This window comes from Homo sapiens, chromosome 1 (genome assembly GCF_000001405.40).
Source record: "Homo sapiens chromosome 1, GRCh38.p14 Primary Assembly".
In the NCBI taxonomy this organism is placed as follows: Eukaryota; Metazoa; Chordata; class Mammalia; order Primates; family Hominidae; genus Homo; species Homo sapiens.
Window position 1 is genome coordinate 53,009,816 of NC_000001.11, and position 27,771 is coordinate 53,037,586.

Genomic DNA, 27,771 nt, shown 5'->3' on the forward strand with positions numbered 1-27,771 from the left:
AAACTACCATCAGAGTACACAGGCAACCTACAGAATGGGAGAAAATTTTTGCAACCTACCTATCTGAGAAAGGGCTAATATCCAGAATCTACAAAGAACTTAAACAAATTTACAAGAAAAAATCAAACAACCCCATCAAAAAGCGGGAGAAGGATATGAACAGACACTCCTCAAAAGAAGATATTTATGCAGCCAACAGACACATGAAAAAATGCTCATCATCACTGGCCATCAGAGAAATGCAAATCAAAACCACAATGAGATACCATCTCACACCAGTTAGAATGGTGATCATTAAAAAGTCAGGAAACAACAGGTGCTGGAGAGGATGTGGAGAACTAGGAACACTTTTACACTGTTGGTGGGACTGTAAACTAGTTCAACCATTGTGGAAGACAGTGTGGCAATTCCTCAGGGATCTAGAACTAGAAATAGCATTTGACCCAGCCATCCCATTACTGGGTATATACCCAAAGGATTATAAATCATGCTGCTATAAAGACACATGCACACGTATGTTTATTGTGGCACTATTCACAATAGCAAAGACTTGGAACCAACCCAAATGTCCATCAATGATATAGTGGATTAAGAAAATGTGGCACATATACACCACGGAATACTATGCAGCCATAAAAAAGGATGAGTTCATGTCCTTTGTAGGGACATGGATGAAGCTGGAAACCATCATTCTGAGCAAACTGTCGGAAGGACAGAAAACCAAACACCACATGTTCTCACTCATAGGTGGGAATTGAACAATGAGAACACTTGGACACATGGTGGGGAACATCACACACTGGGGTCTGTCGTTGGGTGGGGGAAGGGGGAAGGGATAGCATTAGGAGATATACCTAATATAAATGACGAGTTAATGGGTGCAGCACACCAACATGGCACATGTATATATATGTAACAAAGCTGCACATTGTGCACATGGACCCTAGAACTTAAAGTATAACAATAAAAAAAGGTACTTTGTAGTATTCTCCCTGCCCTTGAGAATGTACTTTGTGAGATTCACCCCCTGCCCACAAAAAATTGCTCCTAACTCCACCATCTCTCCCAAAACCTATAAGAACTAATGATAATCCCACCACCTTTTGCTGACTCCTTTTTCAGACTCAGCCCGCCTGCACCCAGGTGAAATAAACAGCCTTGTTGCTCACACAAAGCCTGTTGGGTGGTCTCTTCACATGGACGTGCGTGACAAATTTTATATCTTTTGGAGAGAAAAACTGCTCTATTATAAATATACATTCTTCAGTGTATGCTGAGTCTATGAAAACTTTTTGCTGTTTGAAGCTCAACAAGCCTTTTCTTCCTCAAAAATTCAGGCTCTGATAGTAGAAAACCATGCTTTTTAATGTTGTTTTTGGAAAAGCATTTAAATGTCTAATTTGAAACTAAAGCCGGATTATGACTTTATTGTACTTGGCTGTCTTGATAGTATAGGAAGGTTTATACGTTCAAGGAGAAGGAGGAAAAGACCTCAGAGAATAACTCAAAATGTTATCTCCTATAGCTTTTCCATTCTGTGTCTATTCATAGCACTTAACGTCCTTATCTTTGTTAGCACTTTGCATTTACATTACACTGTGAATCCTCTGTTATCTTTAACATTTGGTAGAGTGTTTGATACATGTTCGAATGGTTTATTTTTAGAAGCAACCAGATTGTATACCCTTATGTATGTAGCTGAGTCCTAGGTCAGTTACTTTCATGTAAAAAGGTTGACCAACATCTTGTTAGGAAATGTTTGCAGCAAGATGATGTTTTGTAACCAGTTGGTTGGAAGTACAGGTGGCTTGGACTTGCATTTGGCATCTGAAGTATGAACAGCCTGGTGGGACTCAGCCCTCAACCCATGGGATCTGACACTATCTCCAGGTAAATAGTGTTAGAATTGAAATGAATTACAGAATACCTCATCGGTATCTGTAAAAGAATCGATTTGCTATTTGGGGGAAGCCCTCACCTTTCCGACATCTAGTCACAGAAGTGTGCTGTGAGTATGTTGAGTAGAAAGGAAAAACAGCTTGCTTTTTCTATTTACATCTAGCTTTTAATTTACATCACCGTTAGGGCTTAGAAAACAATACACCAAAATAAAAGCCTCAGAAGCAAAAATTTTTCTCTGGCCTTCTCCTGGCCTCCTGTCTCTCAGTCCCATTCTCCCCACCAAGGCCAGCCGTAGAAACTAGAATCCCTCTTCCTCAAGGCAGATCATGAAAGCCATAACCCCTTTTCCCCAAAGCCAGTCATAAAACCTAGAATACTACTATAACTTCCCTTCACCTTTCTGTGTAAAAACTAGCCATAAAGAAATTATCTGACCTATCTTGTTTGACTGGGGGTCATAAGACCCCCATTCCAGAAAGGGACCTGCCCCACGCCCAGAAGGAAGGAATGCGTGCTCAGAGAGGCCAAGAAGAACCTAGATGGACAGGCCTGGCTGGGTTTCCCCACTCAGTCTATTAGCATTAGATCATATGCTTTTTGTCCAATCATATTTCTATAGGGCTGTTCCATACTTTGTTGAACTTAAGCATAAAATGGACAACTTCCCCTGTATCTTTGGGTCTTTATTCTGAATGCTCCTATGTATACATGTTAAATAAATTTGTATACCCTTTCTCTAATTAATCTGACTTTTACAAGTTGATTTTTCAGGAAACCTTCAGAGGGCCAAGGAGCATTTGCTCCCTTTGCCCCTCTCTACGTAACCATTCCCCAGTTACTTCACTTCTAGATTATCTAGTTTTTCACTGTTATAACAGTATGATGAACAGATAGCTTTGTGTGTAAAACTTTCCCTACATTTGATTATTTCCATGGAATGGTTTTGAAGGCATTTTAAAGACTCTTCATAACTTTGTACATTGCTTTCCAAAAAGGTTGTCCTGGTTTAAACTTTGACCAGTTCTGTATAGAGGTGGCTATCTTGCCATAGTTTCCCCTGCATTGATTATTCCCATTTTTACATATTCTTACCAATTTGATTGGTGTAAAATGGTATCTATTTGATTTTTATCAATGGTGAGATTGAGTATTTTCTCAAATAGTTGTAAATTGCATCTGTTCTTTTGTGAAGACAACTAGCAGCGTATCTAAGACCAGTTTGAATATTTTTTGTCTTTTTTGTCTTACATATTCATTTATAAAGGCAGATTTCCAGTAAAACTGATTGCCCCCAAGTTTGGGTATAATAGAGTCATTTCACTTTGACCTTCCTCATTAATTTCTAAATTGTTCACAATTCAAAAAGTTATTACCAGTTGTGGAGCTACCTTTTTTTTTTTTTTTTTTTTTTTGAGACAGGGTCTCCCCCTATAATCTTGCCCTGCTGGAGTGCAGTGGCATGATTATAACTCACTGCAGCCTTGACTTCCTGGGCTCAGGCCATCCTCCTTCCTCAGCCTCTTGAGTAGCTAGGGCTACAGACATGTGTCCCCATGCCTGGCTGATTTAAAAAAATTTTATTTTTAGGCCGGGTGCGGTGGCTCATGCCTGTAATCCCAGCACTTGGGGAGGCCAAGGTGGGCAGATCACGAGGTCAGGAGTTCAAGACCAGCCTGGCGAATATAGTGAAACCCCGTCTCTACTAAAAAAAAAAAAAAAAAAAAAAAAATAGCTGGGAGTGGTGGCGCATGCCTGGAGTCCCAGCTACTTGGGAGGCTGAGGCAGGAGAATCGCTGGAACCTGGGAGGTGGAGGTTGCAGTGAGCCAAGATCGTGCCACTGCACTCTATCCTGGGCAACAGAGCAAGACTCTGTCTCAAACATAATAAATAAAATAAATTTATTTTTAGTAGAGATGAGGTCTTGCTATGTTGTCCACACTGGGAGCTACCTATTTTTAAATAGTGTTTAAGATACATGGTCTGTAAATATATAGACACTGCTTAGAAATGAAAAGCAGCAGTTAAATTTCTTGGGGAAGTTGGGGTTTATACAGGAAATTGTCACAGGTACTCAGGAATTGGAAGTTGTGGCTGGGGATGTGTATGGAAGAATAGGCACTGTAAGTAGTAGACCTGCAGACCAGTCTGCCCTGATAGAACATTCTTTTTTTTTTTTTTTTTTTTTTTTTTTTTTTGAGACGGAGTCTTGCTCTGTCGCCCAGGCTGGAGTGCAGTGGCCCGATCTCAGCTCACTGCAAGCTCTGCCTCCCGGGTTCACGCCATTCTCCTGCCTCAGCCTCCCTAGTAGCTGGGACTAGAGGCGCCTGCCACCACGCCCGGCTAATTTTTTTTTTTTTTTTGTATTTTTAGTAGAGACGGGGTTTCACCGTGTTAGCCAGGATGGTCTTGATCTCCTGACCTCGTGATCTGCCCTCCTCGGCCTCCCAAAGTGCTGGGATTACAGGCGTGAGCCACCGCGCCCGGCCCTGATAGAACATTCTTAACCCAGCTCTCCTTCAATAGCTGGTCCGATAGAAAGGCAAACAAATATACATCTGGAGTCATGGGTTCTAACCTTACCTCTGAAATTAGCCTGCTTTGTAACCATTCACAGATTAACCTTTCTGTTTCTCAGTGTTTACATCAGTAAGTTCCTTTCAGCTCTAAACATCTTTGATTTTATTATTCAGGGGACAGAATGTTATCCTTTTGAATCCAGAACCTTTCTTGTGAATATCTGTGAATAGGTCTGGAAAACAACTCATTGTTGTTGGGAACTACTTGGAGGAAAATAATAGGAAAAATTTCCCATACCAGCTAAACTTTTAGGGAATGTGAACTTCCAAATCCTTGTTTATTTTCTTTTAATACATTAAAAATGGTAAAATTAAATTATTTTTATGCCATTTTCCCTGGACTAGAGAATTGTAGATTCGGTGTTTTCTCTTTCAACATGCCAGAAAACGACAGGTTAAGTTGAAAGAGTGCAGGAAAGAAATTTAGAGAGAAAATAACTAGCTGCAAAACCCTTCGGTGTTTTAAGAGAAGTTACTATTTACACAAACGTGGCCTCGGCTTAATCAAATGCTTTAATTTAAAGTCACAAACATCCCTTTTCTGGCTTGAGAAAGCTGGTGGAAGCAGCTCAGTGCTCTGTGTTCGATTTGTTAGGTCTTGCTCAGTGTGCAGAACTCTGCTGGCAGCTGAGAGGGGAAGCCGGAAAGAGGCAAGTTCCTGGTGCAAAGGTGGCTCTGCAGCATAATTTAGGCATTGGAGGAGCTGTGGTTGTAACACTCTACAAGATGGGTTTTCCGGAAGCCGCCAGGTGAGTGACATTCAGAGTTTTGTGTGTCAGTTAATCCTTCTGACTTTTCACAGTTGATGATGTTTTACATGTAAAAATTTCTTATTTTATTGTCTTAGTATTTAAGGAAAAGTATCTCATTACATTGTTTTAAGAACATGGCTTTAAAAGTGGCCATCAGGTTTTAAATTTAACCAACTTTAGGTGAATTCTGTTGAAAAAGGACCCAGGATAGTCACGAGAGTACTGAACTAGAAGCCTGAGCTAGCTGGGTATGGGTCTCGGCCCTAGCAACCTAAGTTATTTAGGCAGGTCTCCTCATGGCCTTCCAGGCTTCTGAGGTGGTTTAGGGAGTCACTAAATGTGCTGATTGGATCTTTGCAAATTTGTATTTCCGAGTCCAGCTAATAAGCCCTCGTTGATGCTAGAATTCTTTTTGTCTCTTGCTGACTTTCTTCCTCTCCTTCAACTGCCCATGCTCCTCAATTTGCAGGCACTTTCTTTCGCATCCCACTCAGGATCCCTCAACTCCCTTGCTTATCTCTCAAAGAAATGTTCCTCCCCAGAGGAAAAAAGCGCCCCTCCTGTCAAAGGCTCAGCTTTCCTTGTTCCATGCTTTTGTTTCCAGTCACTTTCTGTAACTTGGTTATCTTTCCATTGACTCCTTTCCCTCTGTCAGCATACATGTTCAGGTCTTCCCTTAGATCTCTTTTTCTCCTTGCCTTAATTGTTGTTGTTCATGATGAGCCTTTTATGTTGAGCCACCTTTATTTTTCCAAGCCGGAATACCTCACAGTCTAATTTTTACCTCACCACTGAGGTCAGTGTCAGGTAAGGCCACCAGGATCTAAATGAAATTGAATAACTTTGTCTTTATTTTCCCTATTTACTCTCTTTAACCCGGCTGTAGCTTTTGACATTAATTGGCTCCCTTTTTTCTTTTGAAATTCTTGGTAATTATTTAATCATTTATTCACACTTTTTTGTTTCTCCAACAAAGGATATGAGACACACTTCTTTTTTTTTATTATTATACTTTAAGTTGTAGGGTTCATGTGCACAACCTGCAGGTTTGTTGCATATGTATACATGGAGACACACTTCTTTTATTGAGTCTATGTTATTCTTCTGTAAGCTCTTGGATCTCTTCTCTTGTCCTCTCCTCTTTCTCTGCCCAGAATATAATTTCTGTTGTAAAACTTATAATTTAAAGCCCGTCTCAAATACCATCTCTTTTTGAATATCCACAGCACTTTGTATGTTTTTGGGTACTATCTAGTTGGTTTGGTTGCACTGTATCCGGTTTTTAATTCCCTTTATTATATGAAATCCTTGAGGCCTAAGACTGTGACTTACATCTCTTGTTCCTGGAGTCTCTCATATGTTTATTGAATGGGAGTAAAAAGTATTGAATCTTAAGTTTTTGTGGGGTTTTTTTCTTTTTTGAGACAGAGTCTTGTATGGTCCTCTAAATATATGGGGAAGGCAACATACTTTTTTCAAAATGCTGTAGAAGCTCAGAGGAAGAAATTATTATGAAGAAAGTAAATTTGAACTGAGATGACTAGGATTGCCCAACAGAAGTATAGGGGAAGGGCATTCCAAGTCTGTACAATAGGTATAGAAATTTGAAAATACAAGGAGGTTTGACAAGTGGTTGTGCTGTGTGGGTACAGAGTAGATTATTTTGTGTGTGCCTGGGTAGAGGGACAAAGTGGGATTATGGTTTTGAAATGATTCAGATGCAATGCTCAGGAGTTTGGAATTTATCCTATAGAATATGGAAAGATATTCTTTAGCAAAAGATCATGTGACTATATTACACATTAGGTAGATCAGTCTGACATTACTTTGAGCTGGTGGTGGAGAGACCAGAGGCCAGGAATGCTTAGGAAGCTGTTGTAGGAGTGTGGAGGAGAAATGTTTAGTGTTGCAACACAGGCTGTGAACAATGAAGAGGAGAGGTCACATTTAAGGGCTGTGAACAACTACATTTAATTCACAATTAAACTTTAATTTAGACCAGTTTTGAACATGAATATCAACTTTGTATTATAACATCCTATTCATTTTACGTAAGAGAGGAGCTTTTGTGCTACAGACTGAGAATAGGTATGTATTCTATATTCTGTTAAATAAAACCCCCTTTTAAAGCCCAACTTTGTTTTGTATTTCTTTTTTTAAAATTAAGGTATAATTTACATACAGTAAAATTCATTCTTTGTATTATATTTCCACAAGTTTTGATAAACATACAGTCGTATTACTACCACCATAATCAAAATATAAAATAGTTTTATTGCCCAAAAATGTTCCTTGTGCACCCATGTAGTCAACCCTTCTCCTTCTCTTCTAGCCTCTGGCAACCACTGATCTGTTTTCCACCCATGTAGTACTCCTTTTTGCAGAGTGTCATGTGAATGGAATCAAAAAGCCTTTGAGTCTGGCTTCTTTCACTTAGTATTACACATTTTAAAATTCATCCACGTTATTGTGTGTATCAGTAATTTGTCCCCTTTTATTGCTCAATAATATTCCATTGTATGGAAGTGTTAGTTGCTTACCCATTCTTTGGTTGAGGCATATTTGGATTATTCCCATTTTCTTTTTAATGGAAAACTAAGTTAGCTTGAAAGTTTAACCCAGTGGGTACTATTTGAAGATCCTAAGTCATATAAGAAGTTAAATTAGAAGTAAAAATTGTTTCTATATAATGATTACAACTGTATGCATGCCTATAAATAAAGACAACAAGAAGCAATACAGAAAAATGGATAGAGAAAAATTGTTGGAGTAGTAGCATTGCAGGTGATTAACTTGTTCGTATTTTCTTTTTTCTTTTCTTTTTTGAGACAGAGTTTGGCTCTTGTCACCCAGGCTGCAGTGCAATGGCACAATCTCGGCTCACTGCAACCTCCGCCTCCCAGGTGCAAGTGATTCTCTTGCCTCAGCCTCCCAAGTAGCTGGGATTACAGGTGCTCACTACCACGCCCGGCTTATTTTTCTATTTGTAGTAAAGACAGGGTTTCACCATGTTGGCCAGGCTGGTCTTGAACTCCTGACCTCAGGTAATCCACCTGCCTCTGCCTCCCAAAGTGCTGAGATTACAGGCATGGACCATTGCGCCTGGCCTGAATTTCTTTTTCAATTAGAACCTGTTAGGTAGTTACAAACAAACAGGAAAAAATTCTAAGAATAATACAAGGAACTCCCTTATACCTTCTACCTAGATTTACCAATTGTTGACATTTTGCCCATTTGCTTTATCATTTTTCCTCTACATATATTTATATCTGTATACATTTTTTCTTAACTATCTGAGAGAAAGGTGGAGTTGTTATGCTTCTTTATCCCTAAATATTTCAGTGTGTAATTGTAGAAACAATGATATTCTTTTGCTTAACCACAGTAGTTATAAAACTCAAGAAACTTAACAGGGTTGGGCGTGGTATCTCATGCCTGTAATCCCAGCACTTTGGGAGGCTGAGGCGAGTGGATGGCTTGCGGTCAGGAGTTTGAGACCAGCCTGGACAACATGGCGAAACCCCCTCTCTACTAAAAATCAAAAATTAGCCAGGCGTGGTAGCACATGCCTGTAGTCCCAGCTACTCAGGAGGCTGTGGCATGAGAATCGCTTGAGCCTGGGAGGCAGAGGTTGGGGTGAGCTGAGATCATGCCACTGAACTCCAGCCTGGGCAACAGAGCAAGACTCTGTTTCAAAAAAAAAAAAAGAAAAAAGAAAGACATGGATACAATACTATGAACTCATTCAAATAACATAGTCACAGTTCAACAACTGTCCCAATAATATATTTATAAAATATACTCTAAACTTTATTTTTTCTCCCTGTCAGGAGAAATCCCTAAAAATGCATTTAGCTGTCATGTCTCTTTAGTTTCCTTTAATGTGAAATGATCCCTCAGACTTTCTTTGTATTTCTTGACCATGATTTTTTTGAAGAGTGCAAGTATATTCTTTAATAGTAGAATGCTTCTCAGTTTGCAATTGCCTAATGTTTCCCCAAATTAGATTCAGATTATACATTTTTTGCAGCATGAAATTATGTTGTGTCCTTCTAGGTGCATCATATCTGGAGGTGCATGAGGTTGTTTAACCCATATTGGTGTTGTTAGCTTTAATCACTTAATGTGGCATCTACCATGTTTTCCTCTGAAAAGTTGCTGTTCTTTTCTTTGTAATTAATAAGTAATTTGTAGCAAGATGCTTTGAGATGATACCATTTTTTCTATACTTATTAACTGGCATTATTCTGTAAAGAAGAGCTTTCCCTTGTCTTCCATTTCAAAATTTATTCATATATTTATATATGTATGCATACAAACTCATGAATTCTTATTGTATTCACTGGGTTATAGTAAAGTGGTATCAATTATTTTGATTTTCAAAATGCCCCTGATTTGGCCAGTGGGAACCTGATCAAGTTGATTCATTTTTCCCTATGATTCCTTTTAGTAGTTCCTTACTTTCTGGCGCAAGAAGATATTCCAGGCTCGTCCTGTGCTTTCCATGCCTCAGCCCTAGGATCAGTCATTTCTCTGAGTCCTGGTTCCTTTTAGTAGAGAATGGTATATGGAAACCACAAATGGCTGTTAGCTGTGTGCTTGTTATTATTACTTCTAGGCCTTTTCAGCAAGCGCAGTAGCACACACAAGCATTACTTTAGTTTTGTTTTAAGACAGATATTTAAGGAATGCACGCAATAATCTTAATGTGATGTATATCTGTTTCCATACTCATGTAGCCACCAGTTTGTTAGCAGTTAGAATGAGGAATTTATAAAACTAGTTAAATGTCACTTGTATGTGACAACTTTTTAAATTTTATAGACTAGAGTTACCGGAGACAGATTTTTGTTTTTTTGAGACAGAGTCTCCCTCTGTCATCTAGGCTGGAGCGCAGTAGCACATTCTCAGCTCACTGCAACTTCCACCTCCTGGGTTCATGCAATTCTTGTGCCTAAGCCTCCTGAGTAGCTGGGATTACAGGTGCATGCCACCATGCCTGGCTAATTTTTGTATTTTTAGTAGAGACGGAGTTTTGCCATGTTGTCCAGGCTGGTCTTGAACTCCTGAACTCAAGTGATCTGCCTGCCTCGGCCTCCCAAAGTGCTGGGATTACAGACATGAGCCACCATGCCATGCCATCAGAGACAGTTTTGATCAGTGGGAAGAGTACCTTAATCAACTTTTTGATCACACTACTGGCTTTGAGCATATTAATTTAGCCTTTTCCTTATTTAGAAAATACTGAAAATATGTACTTTAGGGATCAGAAAATAACAAATTAAAAATATCTGCCACACATTGTAGTTGCTCAATAAACTTTTGGTTTTTTATTTCCCAGTGCATTTTCCTTTCTTCTTTCCTATTTCTCTAGTTGTGTCACTGGTTAAAGGTCAAAAATAGTTTTATCTTAGTTTAATTTAATTCAATTTTATAGAGACAGGGTTTTGCTATGTTGCCCAGGCTGGTCTCAGACTCCTGGAGTCAAGCAGTCTGCCCACCTCAGCCTCCAGTAGTGCTGGGATTACAGGTGTGAGCCACTGTGCCCAGCCTGAAAATGGTTTTATTTATTAATTATAAATATTACTTAGGGGTATAGGAAAAAAATGAACTTAAATTTTTAGTACAGTATGGGGAACATATCCAACTCATTGAAGCCTACAGCTTGGCCAAAGAGGATCTTATCATATCTCCCACCATACCTCTATGAGGTTTCTTTGTTTGTCTTCCAACTCTCAACTCTGTGGGCTGTATTTCTATGTGTGATGGACCCATGTGCCTGCTCTGAGGTCATGGGGAGTAGCTGATTACAAATGAACTTGATATTCCCTGAAACTTACGCGTACTGTACGACCGTCTCCAGTCAGAACAAACTGATTACTGGTTAAATTTTCGTTTTAGGGATGAAGGTTTGATTACAATGCAGGACTTTATAATCTTCCCAAACACTAAGAATAACAGCAACCACTTTTTTTTTTAGACAGAGTCTCACTCTGTCATCCAGGCTGGATTGCAGTGGTGTTATCTTGGGTTACTGCAGCCTCGACCTCCCCAGGCTCAGATAATCTTCCCACCTCAGCCTCCTGAGTAGTTTGGACCACAGGCACACACCGTCATGCCCAGCTAATTTTTGTATTTTTTTTGTAGAGGTAGGGTTTCACCATGTCGCCCAGGTTGGTCTTGAACTCTTGGGCTCAAGTGATCCACCTGCCTTGGCCTCCCAAAGTGCTGAGATGACAGGCATGAGCCACCATGCCTGGCCGTCAACCACTTTTTTTTTTTTTTTTTGAGATGGAGTCTTGCTCTGTCGCCCAGGCTGGAGTGCAGTTGCGCAATCTTGGCTCACTGCAGCCTTTGCCTCCCGGGTTCAAGCAATTCTCCTGCCTCAGCCTCTTGAGTAGCTGGGACTACAGGCACGCACCACCAGGCCTAGCTGGCTAATTTTTGTATTTTTAGTAGAGATGGGGTTTCCCATGTTGGCCAGGCTAGTCTTGAACTCCTGACCTCAAGTAATCCTCCCACCTTGGCCTCCCAAAGTGCTGGGATTACAGGCATGAGCCACCGAGCTCGGGCTTTTTCTTTCCTTTTCTTTTTCTTTCTTTTTTTTTTTTTTTTTGGGACAGAGTCTTGCCTTGTCACCCAGGCTGGAGTGCAGCAGTATGATCTCATCTCACTACAATCTCTGCCTCCTGGGTTCAAGCGATTCTTGTGCCTCAGACTCCCGAGTAGCTGGGACTACAGTCATAGGCCACCAGGCCCAGCTAATTTTTGTATTTTTAGAAGAGACGGTGTTTTGCCATTTTTTCCAGGCTGGTCTTGAACTCCTGGCCTCATGTGATCCACCTGCCTTGGACTCCCAAAGTGCTGGGATTACAGGCATGAGCCACCATGCCCGGCCTCATCAACCATTTTTTAAAAATTATTTCAGATAACTTTATTAAGACCTAATTCACATGCCCACAATTCACGCATTTTAAGTGTACGTTCAGTGGTTTTTAGCATATCACAAAGTTGTGCAGTCATTACTGCAATTAATCTTAGAACGTTTTCGTCACCTCAAGAGAAAGTGTGTACCCATTAGTAATCCCTCCTTCTTGCAGTCTCTGGCAAACACTAACCTACTTTCTGTCTCTATGGATTTGCCTGTTATGGACGTTGTATGTAAATGAAATCATACATTGTATGGCCTTTGGTGACTGGCTTCTTTCATTTAGCATAATGTTGTCAAGATTCATCCATGTTGTGGCATATATCAGTACTTGATTCCTTTATATGGCTGAAGGTTCCCATTTCTCCACATTCTGTCATTACTTCTTGTTACCTATCTTTTTAGTGTTAGCCATCCTAGTGGTTGTGTAGTGGTATTTCATTGTTCTTTGCATTTCCCTGATGGCTATTGATGATCAGCATCTTTTCATGTTTATTGGCTATATGCATATCTTCTTTGGAGAAAAGCCTATTCAGATCCTTTGGCATTTGAAAACTGGGGTCTTTGTATTTTAATTATTGAGTTGTGAGAGCTCTTTCACAATCACTTTTTGAGGGCCTGGTATGTGCCAGGACCACACTAGGCGTTTCACATGTACTTCTTTGTTTAATCCTCATAAAAGTCCCACACATTAGGTATTTCTGTTTATAGATGAGATTGATGATCAGAGTTAAAATAACTTATCTAAGGAGAGAGAGCCTTGAGTGGTAGGAATCAAGGTTCTAGCTGAGTGCGGTGCTTCTGTTTTCCTGGCTACTCTGTGCTCTCAGTCTTTGACATTGTTGTAGCAGAGCCTGTTTTAGGCCTTAGAATGAAAATTTTCAAGAATCATGGAGGGAATTCATATGCTGAGTAGGTTATTTGCTGGTTTTTATCTTCAAGTTTCCTTTCAATGTTTATATACTAGATTTATTCCAGGAAACATATATAAACCAAATTAAAAAAATAAAACCAATTGGAATTTAGTTTCTGATAAAAGAACTTTTTATGTAAAGAAATCATGAGGAACATCCTTTTGTGAATGTGAATACTCTCTGAGTTTAAGTTGATATATTCAGTTTTCTTAGAGCAGGGCACATATATAAATTTTAAGGAATGAGGGGTTTTCAGAAAACATTGATAAAACTTTACATATTAACTTTTAATCTGGATGAAAAGTTGGTTCATCACTAACTTCATGAGCTTTTCAAAACAAGCAAGATAAAAGACACACCTGTGACCTTTGGGAACATGCAAGATGTGGCAAGTTTGGAAAAGGGCACAATGATGATTAAAAGTAACTGAAAAATTGGACCAATGAAATGAAATTGGCTTGTGGAGAACTAGCTGTGGCTACTTGATTTTAGGTCACATATTCAGACTTTTGACCAAGACGATATACTGTACCATAGATAATTCTGCTCTGAATGGAACAGGAAGGAATTAGGAGTTAGGCAAGGGAGAATTCAGGGTAACTTCAGTTCCATTCAGTCACTATTCACTAAATGCTTATGATTTGCTGGGAACTGGCAATACAGAGATTTTTTTTAAAGAAAAGGTATGGTATCTGCTCTTAAGCCGTTGACATTTAGTAGGGTTTCACAGAAAAGTAGTTTCCTGAAAGGGCTGGGTCTCGAAGGGAGAAATGGAGTTTGCTAAGATGGAGGTATTCTGGACCCAGGGAGCAGCAGTGGCAAAGGCATAGAAGTGTGAGGTGGCATTCTGTGCAACGAGGACTGCACAGAGTCTGCTTGCTGGAGATGAGGTTCCATTCCCTGTTCATATATTAATATGATTCCTCTAGTAGGCTCTCTTTTCAATTTAGACTCTCCACACCCTTCCTTTCACCCTCACTCTCTGCTGATTACTTTGCCTTATACTTTGTTGAGAAATAGAAGCCATTAAACCCAAACTTCCTCAACTTCCATCCAAGACCTACAGACCCACTACACGAGAATTACACCCATCTGATCCTCTTTCTTCGCTTGAGTCTCCTCGTCCTGTCACAGGCCACAAGATTTTTCTCCTTCCATCTCCTTTTTCCAGGTTCCTTACCATCATCAGGCATACCTGTTCTGATTTGTTCATCTTAAAATGAAACCCAGCCTTTTTGAAAATCCTGACATGCTGCAAGATGGATGATCCTTGAGAACATTATGCCAAGTGATATGTCAGTCACAAAAAGACAAATACTATATGATTCCACTTAGAATCATAGTACCTAGAGGTACCTAGAGTATTCAAAATTATAGAGACAGAAAGTAGAATGGTGGTTGCCAGGGGTTGGAAGCAGGGGGGAGTGAGGAGTTACTCTTTAATGGGTAGAGTTTCAGTTTTGCAAGATGAAAAGAGTTATGGAGATGAAAGGTGATGATGGTTGCACAACATTATGACTGTATTTAATACTACTAAACTGAACACTTAAATATGGTTAGGATGGTAAATTTTATGTGTATTTTAACATAATAAAAAATTGGAAAATAAAATATTTTTTAAAAGTTATAGGACTCTCATATGCCCACATCCAGAAGGAAATGCTACATTTCTTTCTTTCTTTTTTTTTCTTTTTTTTTTTGAGATGGAGTCTTGCTCTGTTGCCCAGGCTGGAGTGCAGTGGCATGATCTCTGCTCACTGCAACCTTTGTCTCCTGGGTTCAAGCGAATTCTCCTGCCTCAGACTCCCGAGTAGCTGAGTTTACAGGCGCACACCACAATGCCCGGCTAATTTTTGTATTTTTAGTAGAGACGGGGTTTCACTATGTTGGCCAGGCTGGTCTCGAACTCCTGACCTCAGGTGATCCACCTGCCTCGGCGTCCCAAAGTGCTGGGATTACAGGTGTGAGCTACCACGCCTGCCCAGAAATGCTACATTTCTTTAAGAGATTAGTGAAAATAAAGATGTCATCTTTATCCCCCCCACCAAAAAAATCCCACAACTCTTCCTTGATACCACCACATTCCTCTCCAGAGACCACCTCATTTTACTGTTCCACTAAGACTAATGTCTCAAAAGAGCCACGCTGTGTCTATTTCCCTCTTCTATTCACTCTTCAATTCACTATAATCTGACTTCCACCCTCCACTGAAAACTGCTTTTGTCAAGGTCAGGTCATCTGTACTCTCCATGTGCACATCTAGTGGATACTTGACCTTGTGGCAGCATTTGACAGTTTGCCCCTCCCTCCTGGAATCTTGCTCCCGGCTCCTATGACACCATGCTGGTTTTCCTCTTGCATCACTGGCTGCTGCTTTCCCTTCTGTCCCTGACTCTGAGTAATGGAGGTCTAAAGGGCATTGTGCTGGACTCTCTTGTTTCTCTATAATTCTGTTACAGTCCCTGCCCAGGGATTTAAATGCTTTCACTATGCTGATGATTTCTCCATTTTATCTCTAGCTGGCCCTCTCCACTGAGCTCCAGACTCTCATATCCATGGCTTTCTTGTTTTATAAAATAGTATACTTACTGTGCCTTAAACAGAACTTGGATCCCCTCTATTCCCACTACATTCCTCCTTGTCCTCGTAATGGCCTCTCCATCACCCAGTTATTCAGGCCAAATGCCTGGATAATCCTTGCCCTTTCCTCTTTGTATCTCCCTCACCCCCACAGCAAGGCTTGTGGATTCTATTTCTATTTTGAATCTATTCCCACTCTCTATCTACTGGCAGACTGCCTCTGTAGTCCAGGCCACCATCACCTCCTATCTGGATTATTCCAACAGCCTCCTAACTAGTGCCCACTCCTCTTGCTCCTCTCTCCATCGTCATTCGTTCAGCACACTGTTGTAAGAATAATCACAAATCAAACAATTTCACTTCCATGTTATCATTTCTATGGATTTCCAAATTCCCTACTTTGGCCTGCCTGCATCATCATTTGGCCTGCCTAGTTCTCCAATTTCATTTCATGTCACTCTCCCCACACCTACTGTATTATAGAGACTCTGGTCTTATTTGACTTTCTTTTAACATACTCCTTTCTCCCTCAGGATCTTTGCAGTTTCCTCTTTGAATGGCTAGCTCCTTTTCTTCCTTTAATAAGGTCTTAGAGGTCATTCCTTGACTGTCCTTCCTAAAGTAGGTTCCTTTTTTTTAAATTTAAAATTATTTTTTATTGATGCATAACTGATGTACATAGTCTCAGGGTACAAGTACTAATTTAATACATTCATGTAATTTGTGAAAATCAAATCAGTATACTTGGGATATCCATCACCTTAAATATTTGTCTTTTCTTTATTCTAGGAACATTTGAATTATTCTCTTTTGATTATTCTCTTTTTGCTATTTAGAAATGTAAATGTATAGTAAACTATAGTCACCCTACTCCTGTTTCAAAGTACTTGGTACAGTTTGCAGTTATTTTGTGTTTACTTCTTTTTCTCCTCCACTGGAAGAATATAAACTAAGTGAGTGCAAGGACTGGGTCTGATCTGTTCACTATCATATCCCCAGTGTTTTGAAATGTCTTGCTTGGCATGTAGCAAGAAGTCATTAAATATTTATGAAACGAGGCCAGGCACAGTGGCTCACATCTGTAATCTCAGCACCTTGGGAGGCCAATGTGGGAGGATCGATTGAGCCCAGGAGTTTGAGACCAGCCTGGGCAACATAACAAGGCCCCTGTCTCTACAAAAAATTTGAAAAATTAGCTGGGCATGGTGGCATGCGCCTATAGTCCCAGCTTACTTGGGAGGCTGAGGCAAGATTGCCTGAGACCAGGAGTTCGAGGTTACAGTAAGCTGTGACAGGACCACTGCACCCCAGCCTGGGCGACAGAGTCCCTGTGGGAAAGAGAGAGAGAAAAAGTATGAAATAATAGAAGGAAAAGGGAAAGAGGAAGGAGAAATGGATTTGAGGACTGCAGGGAGACATACATGAGAGGAGAGGGGTAGAAAAAGACAGATGCTTATTGAACAACTGCTGCACTTTTTTTTTTTTTTTTTGACAGGTTCTCACTCTGTCACCCAGGATGGGGTGCAGTGGTGTGATCATAGCTCACTGCAGCCTCTATCTCCCAGGCTCAGGTGATCCTTCCACTTTAGCCTCCTGAGTAGCTAGGACTACAGACACATGCCACCATAATAGGTTAATAAATAACTTATTTATTTAGAAATGGTCTGGTTCCATCACCCAGGCTCAAGCAATCCTTCCATCTCAGCCTCCTGAGTAGCTGGGACTACAGGCACGCACCACCACACCAGGCCAATTTTTGTGTTTTTTATAGAGACGGGGTTTCAACATGTTGCCCAGGCTGGTCTCGAACTCCTGAGCTCAAGCGATCTGTCCGCCTTGGCCTCCCAAAGTGTAGGATTACAGGTGTGAGCCACTGTGCCTGGCTAACTATATTATTTATTTTTTTGTTTCTAAATTGTCTCCTCCACTAGGATGTAAGATTCATGAGGGTAGCTTCTTTGGTTTACTGTATTTTCAAGAAAAACTTCTAGCTCCTAATGAGCTGATTATGTGTTGAAAAAATGAGAAGAAGAGCTTAATTGTTTCTTTGTTTATGACGGAGTTTCGCTCTTGTTGCCCAGCATGGAGTGCAATGGTGCCATCTCGGCTCACTGCAACCTCCGCCTCCTAGGTTCAAGCGATTCTCCTACCTCAGCCTCCTGAGTTGCTGGGATTACAGGCATGCGCCATCATGCCCAGCTAATTTTTGTATTTTTAGTAGATACGGGGTTTCTCCATGGTGGCCAGGCTGGTCTCGAACTCCCGACTACAGGTGATCCACTCGCCTCGGCCTCCCAAAGTGCAGGGACTATAGGCATTGAGCCATCGCGCCCGGCCAAGCTTAATTATTTTATATGCTTACTAAAGATTTCCTTTGGATAAGATTTGCAACATCTCTGTTCTTAGGGTTTTTGAAAATTTTGAAAATTACTATTTTATAAATGTTGAAAAACCTAGTACCTATGTGACTCCATGAATTGAAACAGTTTCTTTTCCCCAGTTCTTTTAGAACTCATCAAATTGAAGCTGTTCCAACCAGCTCTGCAAGTGATGGATTTAAGGCAAATCTTGTTTTTAAGGAGATTGAGAAGAAACTTGAAGAGGTAAGATTTATGTAAAATATTGCCAGGAAGGACCTTGAGGCTAGAGGAAGCAGACACAGGTTTCAGGTGTTGCCACGAGGTGGTACAATTGAAAATTTATATCATGTTGTCAAGTATTGAGTGTAGTTAGATTTCTGAGTGTCTATTAAGGCTTCCTTGTAATTCTAAAAGGAATGCATTTCAGAAATGTATGAATCTCCAGATTTGAGCTAAAGAACTATAATAAATACTGTTAAAATTGTCACTCTTTTCTAGGTCCTCTTTGTCAGAGGGTCATTCAGTCATGGGCAAAGTTCAAATATAAAGGGATTCTAATTTATTTTGCTGTAATTTCCTTTGAATTAAAACGGTCTTACTTAAAATCATTTCAAAGAATAATATTTAAAATGAGCCTTTTTTGTATATATATCAAAATTCTTTGTAAAAAGAAATTGTGTTTTGATTTCTTAAAGTAGTTAAAAAATTTTTTTGTTTTAAAAATGATGTTAATTTAAAAAATACTATACAGAAATATATGTTTATGAATAGTATAAATTTTATACTATACTTTTGTTTTAACCTTTTAAACAAAAGTTTAAAATCTCCCCAAATTCTGCCACTCAGAGTTTACTGAAATGTTAACAGTGGTTAACATTCTTTCAGACATCTTTCTCTGTGTATATTAACTTACAGTTTTAACCTAGGGTCAAAAAAACCTATTGTTTTTTGTTTTGTTTTGTTCTGAGACAGTGTCTTGCTCTGTCACCCAGGCTGGAGTGCAGTGGTATGATCTTGGGTCACTGCAACCTTCACCTCCCGGGTTCAAGTGATTCTTGTTCCTCTGCCTCCTGAGTAGCTGGGATTACAGGCACCCACCACCACGCCAGGCTAATTTTTGTATTTTTAGTAGAGACAGGGTTTCACCATGTTGGTCAGGCTGGTCTTGAACTCCTGACCTCAAGTGATCCACCCGCCTTGGCCTCCCAAAGTGCTAGGATTACAGGGGTGAGCCACCGTGCCCACCACAACACCTGTTGTTTTTTATTATACTATATATGCGGATCTATTTTTATATACAATAATTAGTTCTTGATAGGTAATAATCATACTAAGGCAATCTAAAAATAACTCTCCAGAAAGAAAGTTATTCTCTTCACGCAAAATTGATATTTATTTCATTGTTTTAAACTTAGAAGAATCTTGGGATCTCTTTCTGTTTTTTTTTTTTTTTGAAACAGAGTCTCACTTTGTCGCCCAGAATGGAGTGCAGTGGCATGATCACGGCTCACTGCAGCCTTGAGCCCCTGGGCTCAAGTGATCCTTTCACCTTGGCCCCCCAAAGTGTTGGGATTACAGGCGTGAGCCTCTGCCTGGATGTATTTCATTATGGATTTTAGATCTGAGACCGTATAAGGCATGGTTACAGCCATAATCACAATGCAAATTACACATCTATTAAGGTGATCAAAGTGGGCTGGAATAAATAGAATGTTTAAACTGTATTTCACTCACGTTAGAGCCATGGTGTGAAAGGCAAACATTGTGCTTATCTCATAACCCTTATTGTAGGCCAGAGGACTACTTAATATCTGAGATGATTGCACTGTGGATGGGAATACAGGTGATATAACTGATGTGTCTTGTGAAAGAACCCAGTATTCCCAGGACTTTCATTATAATCTACAACCGTCCTGAGGGAGAGCAGGGCCAGGCATTGGCCTAGAAGCTGCAGACCTGTCCTGCAACCATCTTGGGATGCATCCACATGGGGCTACCTGTTTTATAACCTATGTTTTTCTTTTGACATTATGTTCCATGGCCATAAATCTAAATCTTTACCCCCTGTTTTTTTTTTTGAAACAAAGTCTCGCTCTGTCACCCAGGCTGGAGTGCAGTGGCGCGATCTTGGCTCACTGCAACCTCCACCTCCCGGGTTCAAGCGATTCTCGTGCCTCAGCCTCCCGAGTAGCTGGCATTACAGGCACGTGCCACCACACCCAGCTAATTTTTGTATTTTTAGTAGAGATGGGGTTTCACCATATTTGCCAGGGTGGTCTCTTATCTCCTGACCTCGTCATCTTCCCACCTTGGCCTCCCAAAGTGCTGGGATTACAGGCATGAGCCATCGTGCCCGGCCGTTTACCCTCATTTTTAATACATAGTATGTATTCATATGTATTTGTCAAAATTTAAGTAGCTTCCTGTGATGAATATCAGGTTGTATTTAACATTTTCAAGTAAAACAGTGCTGTAATAAATTTCCTGTTGCACTCATATTTAAGTATTTAAGCTATGATCAATTTAATATAAATAAAGGAGGAAAATTGTTGGGTGGTTGGCTACGTGCATTTTGTATGCTGATACATATTGCCAAACTACCCACCAGAAAGAGAGTACTAACTTACAAACATTACCAATTCATGAGAGTGACTATTTTTTCCTTTTAAAACATTTATTTATTTTTATTTTTGTAAAGATGGGGTCTTGCTATGTTGGAGACTAACTATTTTTACTTCACACCTCTGATACTATGTTGGCTGGTTTTTAAAAAAATCTCTGGGCTGGGCACAGTGGCACACCCCTGTAATCCCAGCATTATGGAAGGCTGAGGCGGGTGGATCACTTGATGTCAGGAGTTCAAGACCAACCTGGCCAACATAGCAAAACCCTGTCTCTACTAAAAATATAAAAATTAGCCAGGCATGATGGCGCAGTCCCAGATAGCTGTAGTCCCAGCTACTAGAGAGGCTGAGGCAGGAGAATCGCTTGAACCTGGAAGGCGGAGGTTGCAGTGAGCCAAGATCACGCCACTGTACTCCAGCCTGGGTGACAGAGCGAGACTCCACCTCAAAAAAATTAAAAAAAAAAAAAAAAAAAAAGGCTTTGCCAACCTAGTAGGAAAAAATATCTCATTGTTTCTTGAACTTCTTTCATTACAAGTGTTCCTATAAAATGAAGTTGCACTCTATAAAGTCTCGGCTTAAAAGTTTTGGTTTTTAAAAATGCTGCCAATATATTCCTGCAGAGGAACACATAGGATAGTGGCGTCTGACAAGTTGCTTCATTTATTTCAACCCTATTCCATCTAAAAAAAAAATCAACTAAATTAATGTAGAGATTATCTACTATGAAGTATGAGATATGGCAGTATATCAGTCATTGAATACTTCATTACTGGGATTTACAAATTAGTGTGGTTTTTATTTTACAGTATTCTTTTAGCTTTGCAAATGTATGCCTCTTGCTCCATTTTAATTCTTTTCTCTATAACCTCCCTACCAACCTTGTTCCCTTGTTTCTTTCTCCTTCCCACGATTGTCAGTTTCCTAAGTGTTTGCAGCACTAGAAAGTAAAAGTCTTGGAATCTTTTGTCAATTCATGCATTTTCTGCATTAGCAAAGGCAGCCTGGCAAAAGATTTTATTTCCACTTTTGTCTTTGTTAGCAATTCTCCATTGCCCTTCTTTGAATTCTGTCTTAATTTTTTGTCCCTATTAAGTTTGCCACAGGACCTACTCCTTAACCTTTTGCCTACTCAGAAAGAAGTACTTTTCTTCAAGCAAGGAGGCACTCAGAACTTTCTCAGTACTAATGATCTCCAATTTCACAACTGTATTTTATTTTCCCTTTAAACTCTTTCTCCTCATCAGTTTCCTTACCCTCTCTCACTCCCACTTCAATTGAAAATGTTTTATTGTCGAAGGGATGTGATTTTATAAGAGGATCAGTTGTTTCTGAAAAGTAGCAGCAAGTGCAGATTATTCTCTATCTATTTTAAGGAGGTGGGAGGAGAAGTAGTAAGGTTATAGGAATTTCTCTTCAAGTATGCAGGTAGAATTTCTAAATGTTTGCTGGTGTTTTCCTGCTGTAACTTGTTGGTGTCTGCACATAGCTGTATTCCTGAGGCACTGTGCAAGCAGATGGCATGGATGCACCTGGAAATAGTCATTCATGGGCCACTGGCTCTAGAGAAAGCTTTCCTCTCAGGTGGCCTAGCACACTATTAACCCCCTCTCCTATATTATTTCTACAGAACCTTGAGAGATAAAAGATTTTAAGGAATGTGAAGAAGACTTTGAACTTTCTTCATTTTATGGTGCCAGATACAGCTCTGCTGTCATCGGCTAAAGTTTAGAAATGTTGATGTGACCTACAGTTTCAGTGTGGTATGGTCAAATGGAAGTAGCATTGAATTTGGGATTAAAGCAACCTGGGATTGAGTTCTGGTTGTACTACCCACTAGCCATATGTCCCTGCCTCTCAGGGAACACAGAGTTTAGTGGGAAGAGAGACATGGAAAAATATTTCCAGAAAAAAGCAACATGGGTTTATGTGCAGAGGGCCATCAAAATATCTGGTGGAGATAGAGACTCCTTCCCAAAAGAGTTAGCATGTGAGCTGAGATTTGAATGATGAGGTCAGGGGTGGGAGTAGAGGCTAGGAAGAAGTGAGTGTCCTGGGATGGGGTATGAGTAAGGGCATGGAGGCATACAAGCACTTGGCACGTAAGTTCATGGAATTCAACATGTTCATGGAATTCAGAGATGAAGAGGAAGAGAAAGTGGCTGGAGATAAGAACAGACAAATATCCTTCGGATCATGAAGACTCTAGGATAATATGTAAAGACAGACTTCATCCTGTTGGCTGTGGGGAGCCACTAAGAAGTTCAAGCCTGAGAGTGTCAGATGGATATGTTAGTGTTAGATGGACTACTTGGCAGCAGTATAGAGGAGAAGCATTCTTAATCTTTATAAGCCTCAATTGCTTTTTCTGCTTAATGAGCTAATACTAATGTCTGCCCAACTATTTGTATGGTTTTGTGAAGATTAAAGAAATTATATATACAAAATATATTTAATACAAAAGTATTAAAAACTTGAAGGGCCCTCAAAATATTAGTATTGTTAGTAGTTTTTTTCTACAGTTAACTTAAAATAATTTAAGTGAGCTCTTTTAAGGGAAGCCAACATAAGAGAATTTCTTTTTCACTTAAAAGAAAAACCTGACAGTCATTTTGGTTTCTTGGTTTAAGTAGAAAATATTGGTAGTTAATTTCAGGATACTCACATGTAAGAGATGCTGCCATGACTATTCAGATAAGTAGTCCCTGACTAAATATTTTAGGACTACTTATTAAAACTAAACATTTTAGGACTACTTATTAAAACTAAATATTTTAGGATAAAACAAAATATTTAGTCCTAAGACCCATGTCTAAGATTCCAGGTGGCTCTCAGGGAATGTACCTATATGTAAGAAAAAGGTTGACATACCGGGCACAGTGGCTCACGCCTGTAATCCCAGCACTTTGGAAGGCCGAGGTGGGTGGATCACTTGAGGCCAGGAGTTCAAGACCAGCCTGGCCAACATGGTGAAACCCCATCTCTACCAAAAATACAAAAAAATTAGCTGTGTGTGGTAGCGTGTGCCTGTAATCCCAGCTACTTGGGAGGCTGAGGCAGGAGAATCACTTGAACCGAGGAGGCAGACGTTGCAGTGAGCTGAGATTGCACCACAGCACTCCAGCCTGGGAGACAGAGCAAAACTCCATTTCAAAAAAAAAAAAAAAAAAAAAGGTTGACACACCCAGTAGGATGACTAAAATAAAAAAGACAATAACAATTGTTTGTGAGGATGTGGAGAAATTGGAAACCCTCATTAATTGCTGGTAGCATTGTGACATGATGTAGCCACTTTGGGAGTGCCTTAAAAAATTAAACATCACCTTATGACCCAGCAATTACACTTCTAGATATGTAACCAAAAGAAATTAGGAGCCTATGTTCACATGAAAACTTGTACACAAATGTCTATAGCAGTATTATTCATAATAGGAAAAAATGAAAACAACCATCAGCTGCTGAATACATAAACAAAACATGTTACATCCATACAATGGAATATTATTTAGCTGTAGAAAGGATTGAAGGAGGCCGGGCATGGTGGCTCATGCCTGTAATCCCAGCACTTTGGGAGGCCGAGGTGGGTGGATCACTCGAGGTCAGGAGTTTGAGACCAGCCAGGCCAACATGGTAAAACCCCATCTCTACTAAAAACACCAAAATTTTTAGTACTTTTTTTTGGCACGTGGTGGTGCGCGCCTGTAGTCTCAGCTACTTAGGAGGCAGAGGCAGGAGAATCACTTGAACCCGGGAGGAGGAGGTTGCAGTGAGTTGAAACATGCCACTGCACTCCAGCCTGGGTGACAGAGTGACTCCATTTAAAAAAAAAAAAGATTGAAAGACTGATCGATGTATGCATCAATGTGGATAAACCTTGAAAACGTCATGCTTAAGTGAAAGAAGCAGTCACAAATATATGATTTCATTTATATGAAATGTCCAGAATAAGCAAATCTATAGAGACAGGAAGTAGATTTGTGGTTGCCGGGGACTGAGGGGTGGAGGAGACAGGGAATGACTGCTAATGGGTATGAGTTTCTTTTGGGGTTAATGAGAATGCTCTAAAATTAGATAGTGGTTTTGGTTGTACAACCTTGAATATACTAAAACAACCACTGAATTGAATATTTTAAAAGAGTGAATTTTATAGGATATAAATTATATCTCAATGCTGTTGTAAAACAAAACACAACAAAAAGAAATAGTGAACTTAGGCCAGGCTCTCTGCATACTTAGAAACAGAGGTTAGTATCTAATGTCAGTTTATGTAAATTCCTCAGGGGCAGTAATTATTTGAGTATTTCAGGTACTTATCAGAGTGCCTGAACATTGTAAACACTTAAGTCTTTCTTAAAATAATTAATATTATGAGGCCAGGCACGGTGGCTCACGCCTGTAATCTCAGCACTTTGGGAGGCCGAGGCAGGCGGATCATGAGGTCAGGAGATTGAGACCATCTTGGCTAACACGGTGAAACCCCGTCTCTACTAAAAATACAAAAAATTAGCCAGGTGTGGTGGCGGGCACCTGTAGTCCCAGCTACTTGGGAGGCTGAGGCAGGAGAATGGCATGAACCTGGGAGGCGGAGCTTGCAGTAAGCTGAGATCACGCCACTGCACTCCCAGCCTGGGTGACAGAGTGAGACTCTGTCTCAAAGAAAAAAAAAAAAATTAATATGATACCAAAAGGAAGAATTTTGTGTATAAATTATTGCAGATATGTAAGGCTGAAATAAAGAAGATAGGAAATAAAAGCTATTAGAAATTAAAGAGAACTCAACAGGTTGCCAGTTCCAAAATAAACATTAAAAGATTAGTATATTTTCTATATATTTGCAATAACCTGGCCATAAAATTTAATGCAAAGATGTGCTATTAACAAAAACAATATAAAATACCTAAGAATAAACTTATCAAGAAATGTACAGAAGTCTATGTTGGCAAAAAAAAGACAACATTTTCCCAAAGGACATTAAAGAAAAGGTGAAGATTTACTATATTCGTGGATGGGAAGACTTAATATTGTGAAGATACTACCTCTCTCCTAAACAGATCTATATATTTTATGTAACCCCATCCAACTCCAACAACATTTTGGGAGAAGAACTAAGTGATTATAAAGTACATATAAAGGAAAATGTGTCCAAAAAAAAATCCAAAATAGCCAAGAATATTTGGAAGAGAAGAATTATAATTGAGATTTGCTGTGTCAGAGTAAAGTGTATTATAAAGCTATAATATTGGCACAGAAATAGCTAGATCATAGAATAAAACAACAACAACAAGATGCTAACATTCATTGAGTACTCTGTGTGTTGTGGGTATTTACATAATTCTCTTACAGCTCTGTGAGGGTAGTTACTGTTTTATTCCCATTTAACAGATAAGATAACCGAGATTCATACAAAAATGCAAAAAATTAGCCGGGCGTGGTAGCGGGCGCCTGTAGTCCCAGCTACTCGGGAGGCTGAGGCAGGAGAATGGCGTGAACCCGGGAGGCGGAGCTTGCAGTGAGCCGAGATCAGGCCACTGCACTCCAGCCTGGGCGACAGAGCGAGACTCCGTCTCAAAAAAAAAAAAAAAAAAAAAGAAAACTGAGATTCAGAAAGTAACTTGGCTAACTTGTTGATAACAATCAACAGGATATTGGTTAAATAAATATGGTATACTTTTACAATTAAAGACTATATGTGACCATTTAAAATTATGTAGAATATTATTAGTGACACAGTAATTAGGATAATTATATTAAACAAAAAAAGTAGATTATAAAACAATATGATCCCATTTAAGATATATATATAAAAGCTTTATATATAACATATATATACTATATTTTATTTAATCAATACCCTGTTAATTGTTATTCAGGCTCGTGCTAACTTCTGGCTCTTAAAACAATGCTGTGAATAACATTCTCATATCTAAATATTTTTACAGAGCCTCATTTATTTAAGGGTAAATCCCTAGAATTAAACTTTGCTAATTAAGAACACCAAATCTAGGAATCAAAATAGGTTTGAATTCTTGCTCTTCCTTGTACTTCTACAAACCTAGCCAAGTTATTAGACCTTCTTGAATATATATATAATAATATATATGTAGCATATATAAATCTTATATATATATATCTTAAGTGGGATCATATTGTTTTGTAATCTACTTTTTCTGTTTAATATAATTAAACAGATCCCATTTAAGATACATATATATATAATCTTTTCTGTTTAATATAATTAAACAGATTCCATTTAAAAGATATATATCTTAAATGAGATCATATTTTGTAATCTACTTTTTCTGTTTACAGAAAGATTTTCTTGTTTTTGGTACAAAACCCATTTTTTTTCTCTGCATATATATGTACCAAAAATGATTTTCTTTGAGTGATAAAGTTATGAATGATTTTGGCCGTGTGCAGTAGCTCACACCTGTAATCCTAGCATTTTGGGAGGCTGAGGCAGTGGATCACTTGAGGTCAGGAGTTCGAGACCAGCCTGGCCAACATAGTGAAACCCCGTCTCTACTAAAAATACAAAAAATTAGCATGGTGGCGTGTGCTGTAGTCCCAGCTACTCAGAAGGCTGAGGCAAGAGAATCGCTCGAACCCAGGAGGCAGAGGTTGCAGTGAGGCAAGATCATGCTACTGCACTCCAGCCTGGGTGAGAGAGCAAGACTCTGTCTCAAAAAATAATAATAATAATAAATGATGAATGATTTATATTTTCTTCTTCTTGCTTACTGATATTTTCTAATTTTTCCACAGTGAAATAAATGTTCCTTCTCTAAAAATTTTTTTTCAATAAAATTATTAGGTTGCTCTTGTTTCTTTTAAACAAGGTGTGTGAGTTTGTTGTCCTCCTTTTGTTATTCACCCTGCCAGCTGGCTTAGCTGCTCCTCTGTGCTCCTGCAGTCCCCTGTGTTTCCCTTGATCGCAGCGTATTGTCATAGTGATCATAGCGTATTGACATTACTTACTTTTCTGACTCCTATCTCTATATCCTTGGTGCCTGTAACAATATTTGGCTCAATAAATGCTTCAGGAAGGAAAGGCTGGGAATGAAGGGAAAAAAAAGAGGACGGGAGGGAGAAGGGAAACCCCCTTGCAGAGATATAGGTCTGAGTTTTTTTTCT

General features: G+C 39.5%; 1 protein-coding gene across 9 annotated transcripts in view, besides 1 other annotated feature; it reads left to right on the forward strand.

The window, feature by feature from the left end:
- SCP2 (sterol carrier protein 2) overlaps positions 1 to 27,771 on the forward strand; it is a 124,423-nt gene that overhangs the window by 82,540 nt on the left and 14,112 nt on the right. For 6 of the 9 annotated variants that reach the window (NM_002979.5, XM_005271103.5, NM_001193600.2 and 3 more), the window contains 2 exons: positions 5,075 to 5,228; positions 18,154 to 18,256. In NM_002979.5, coding sequence (NP_002970.2) covers positions 5,075 to 5,228; positions 18,154 to 18,256 — 257 coding nt within the window. Of the gene's footprint in view, positions 1 to 5,074; positions 5,229 to 18,153; positions 18,257 to 27,771 lie in introns of those variants that run through there. The other 3 variants (NM_001007099.3, NM_001007250.3, NM_001007100.3) reach the window with 2 other exon arrangements.
- Positions 4,996 to 5,085: an enhancer, noted in NCBI's record as "active region_1040". NCBI's record gives its function as "activates an Ori minimal core promoter by ATAC-STARR-seq in GM12878 lymphoblastoid cells {active_cell/tissue: GM12878}" and the evidence as "EXISTENCE:reporter gene assay evidence [ECO:0000049][PMID:35858748]".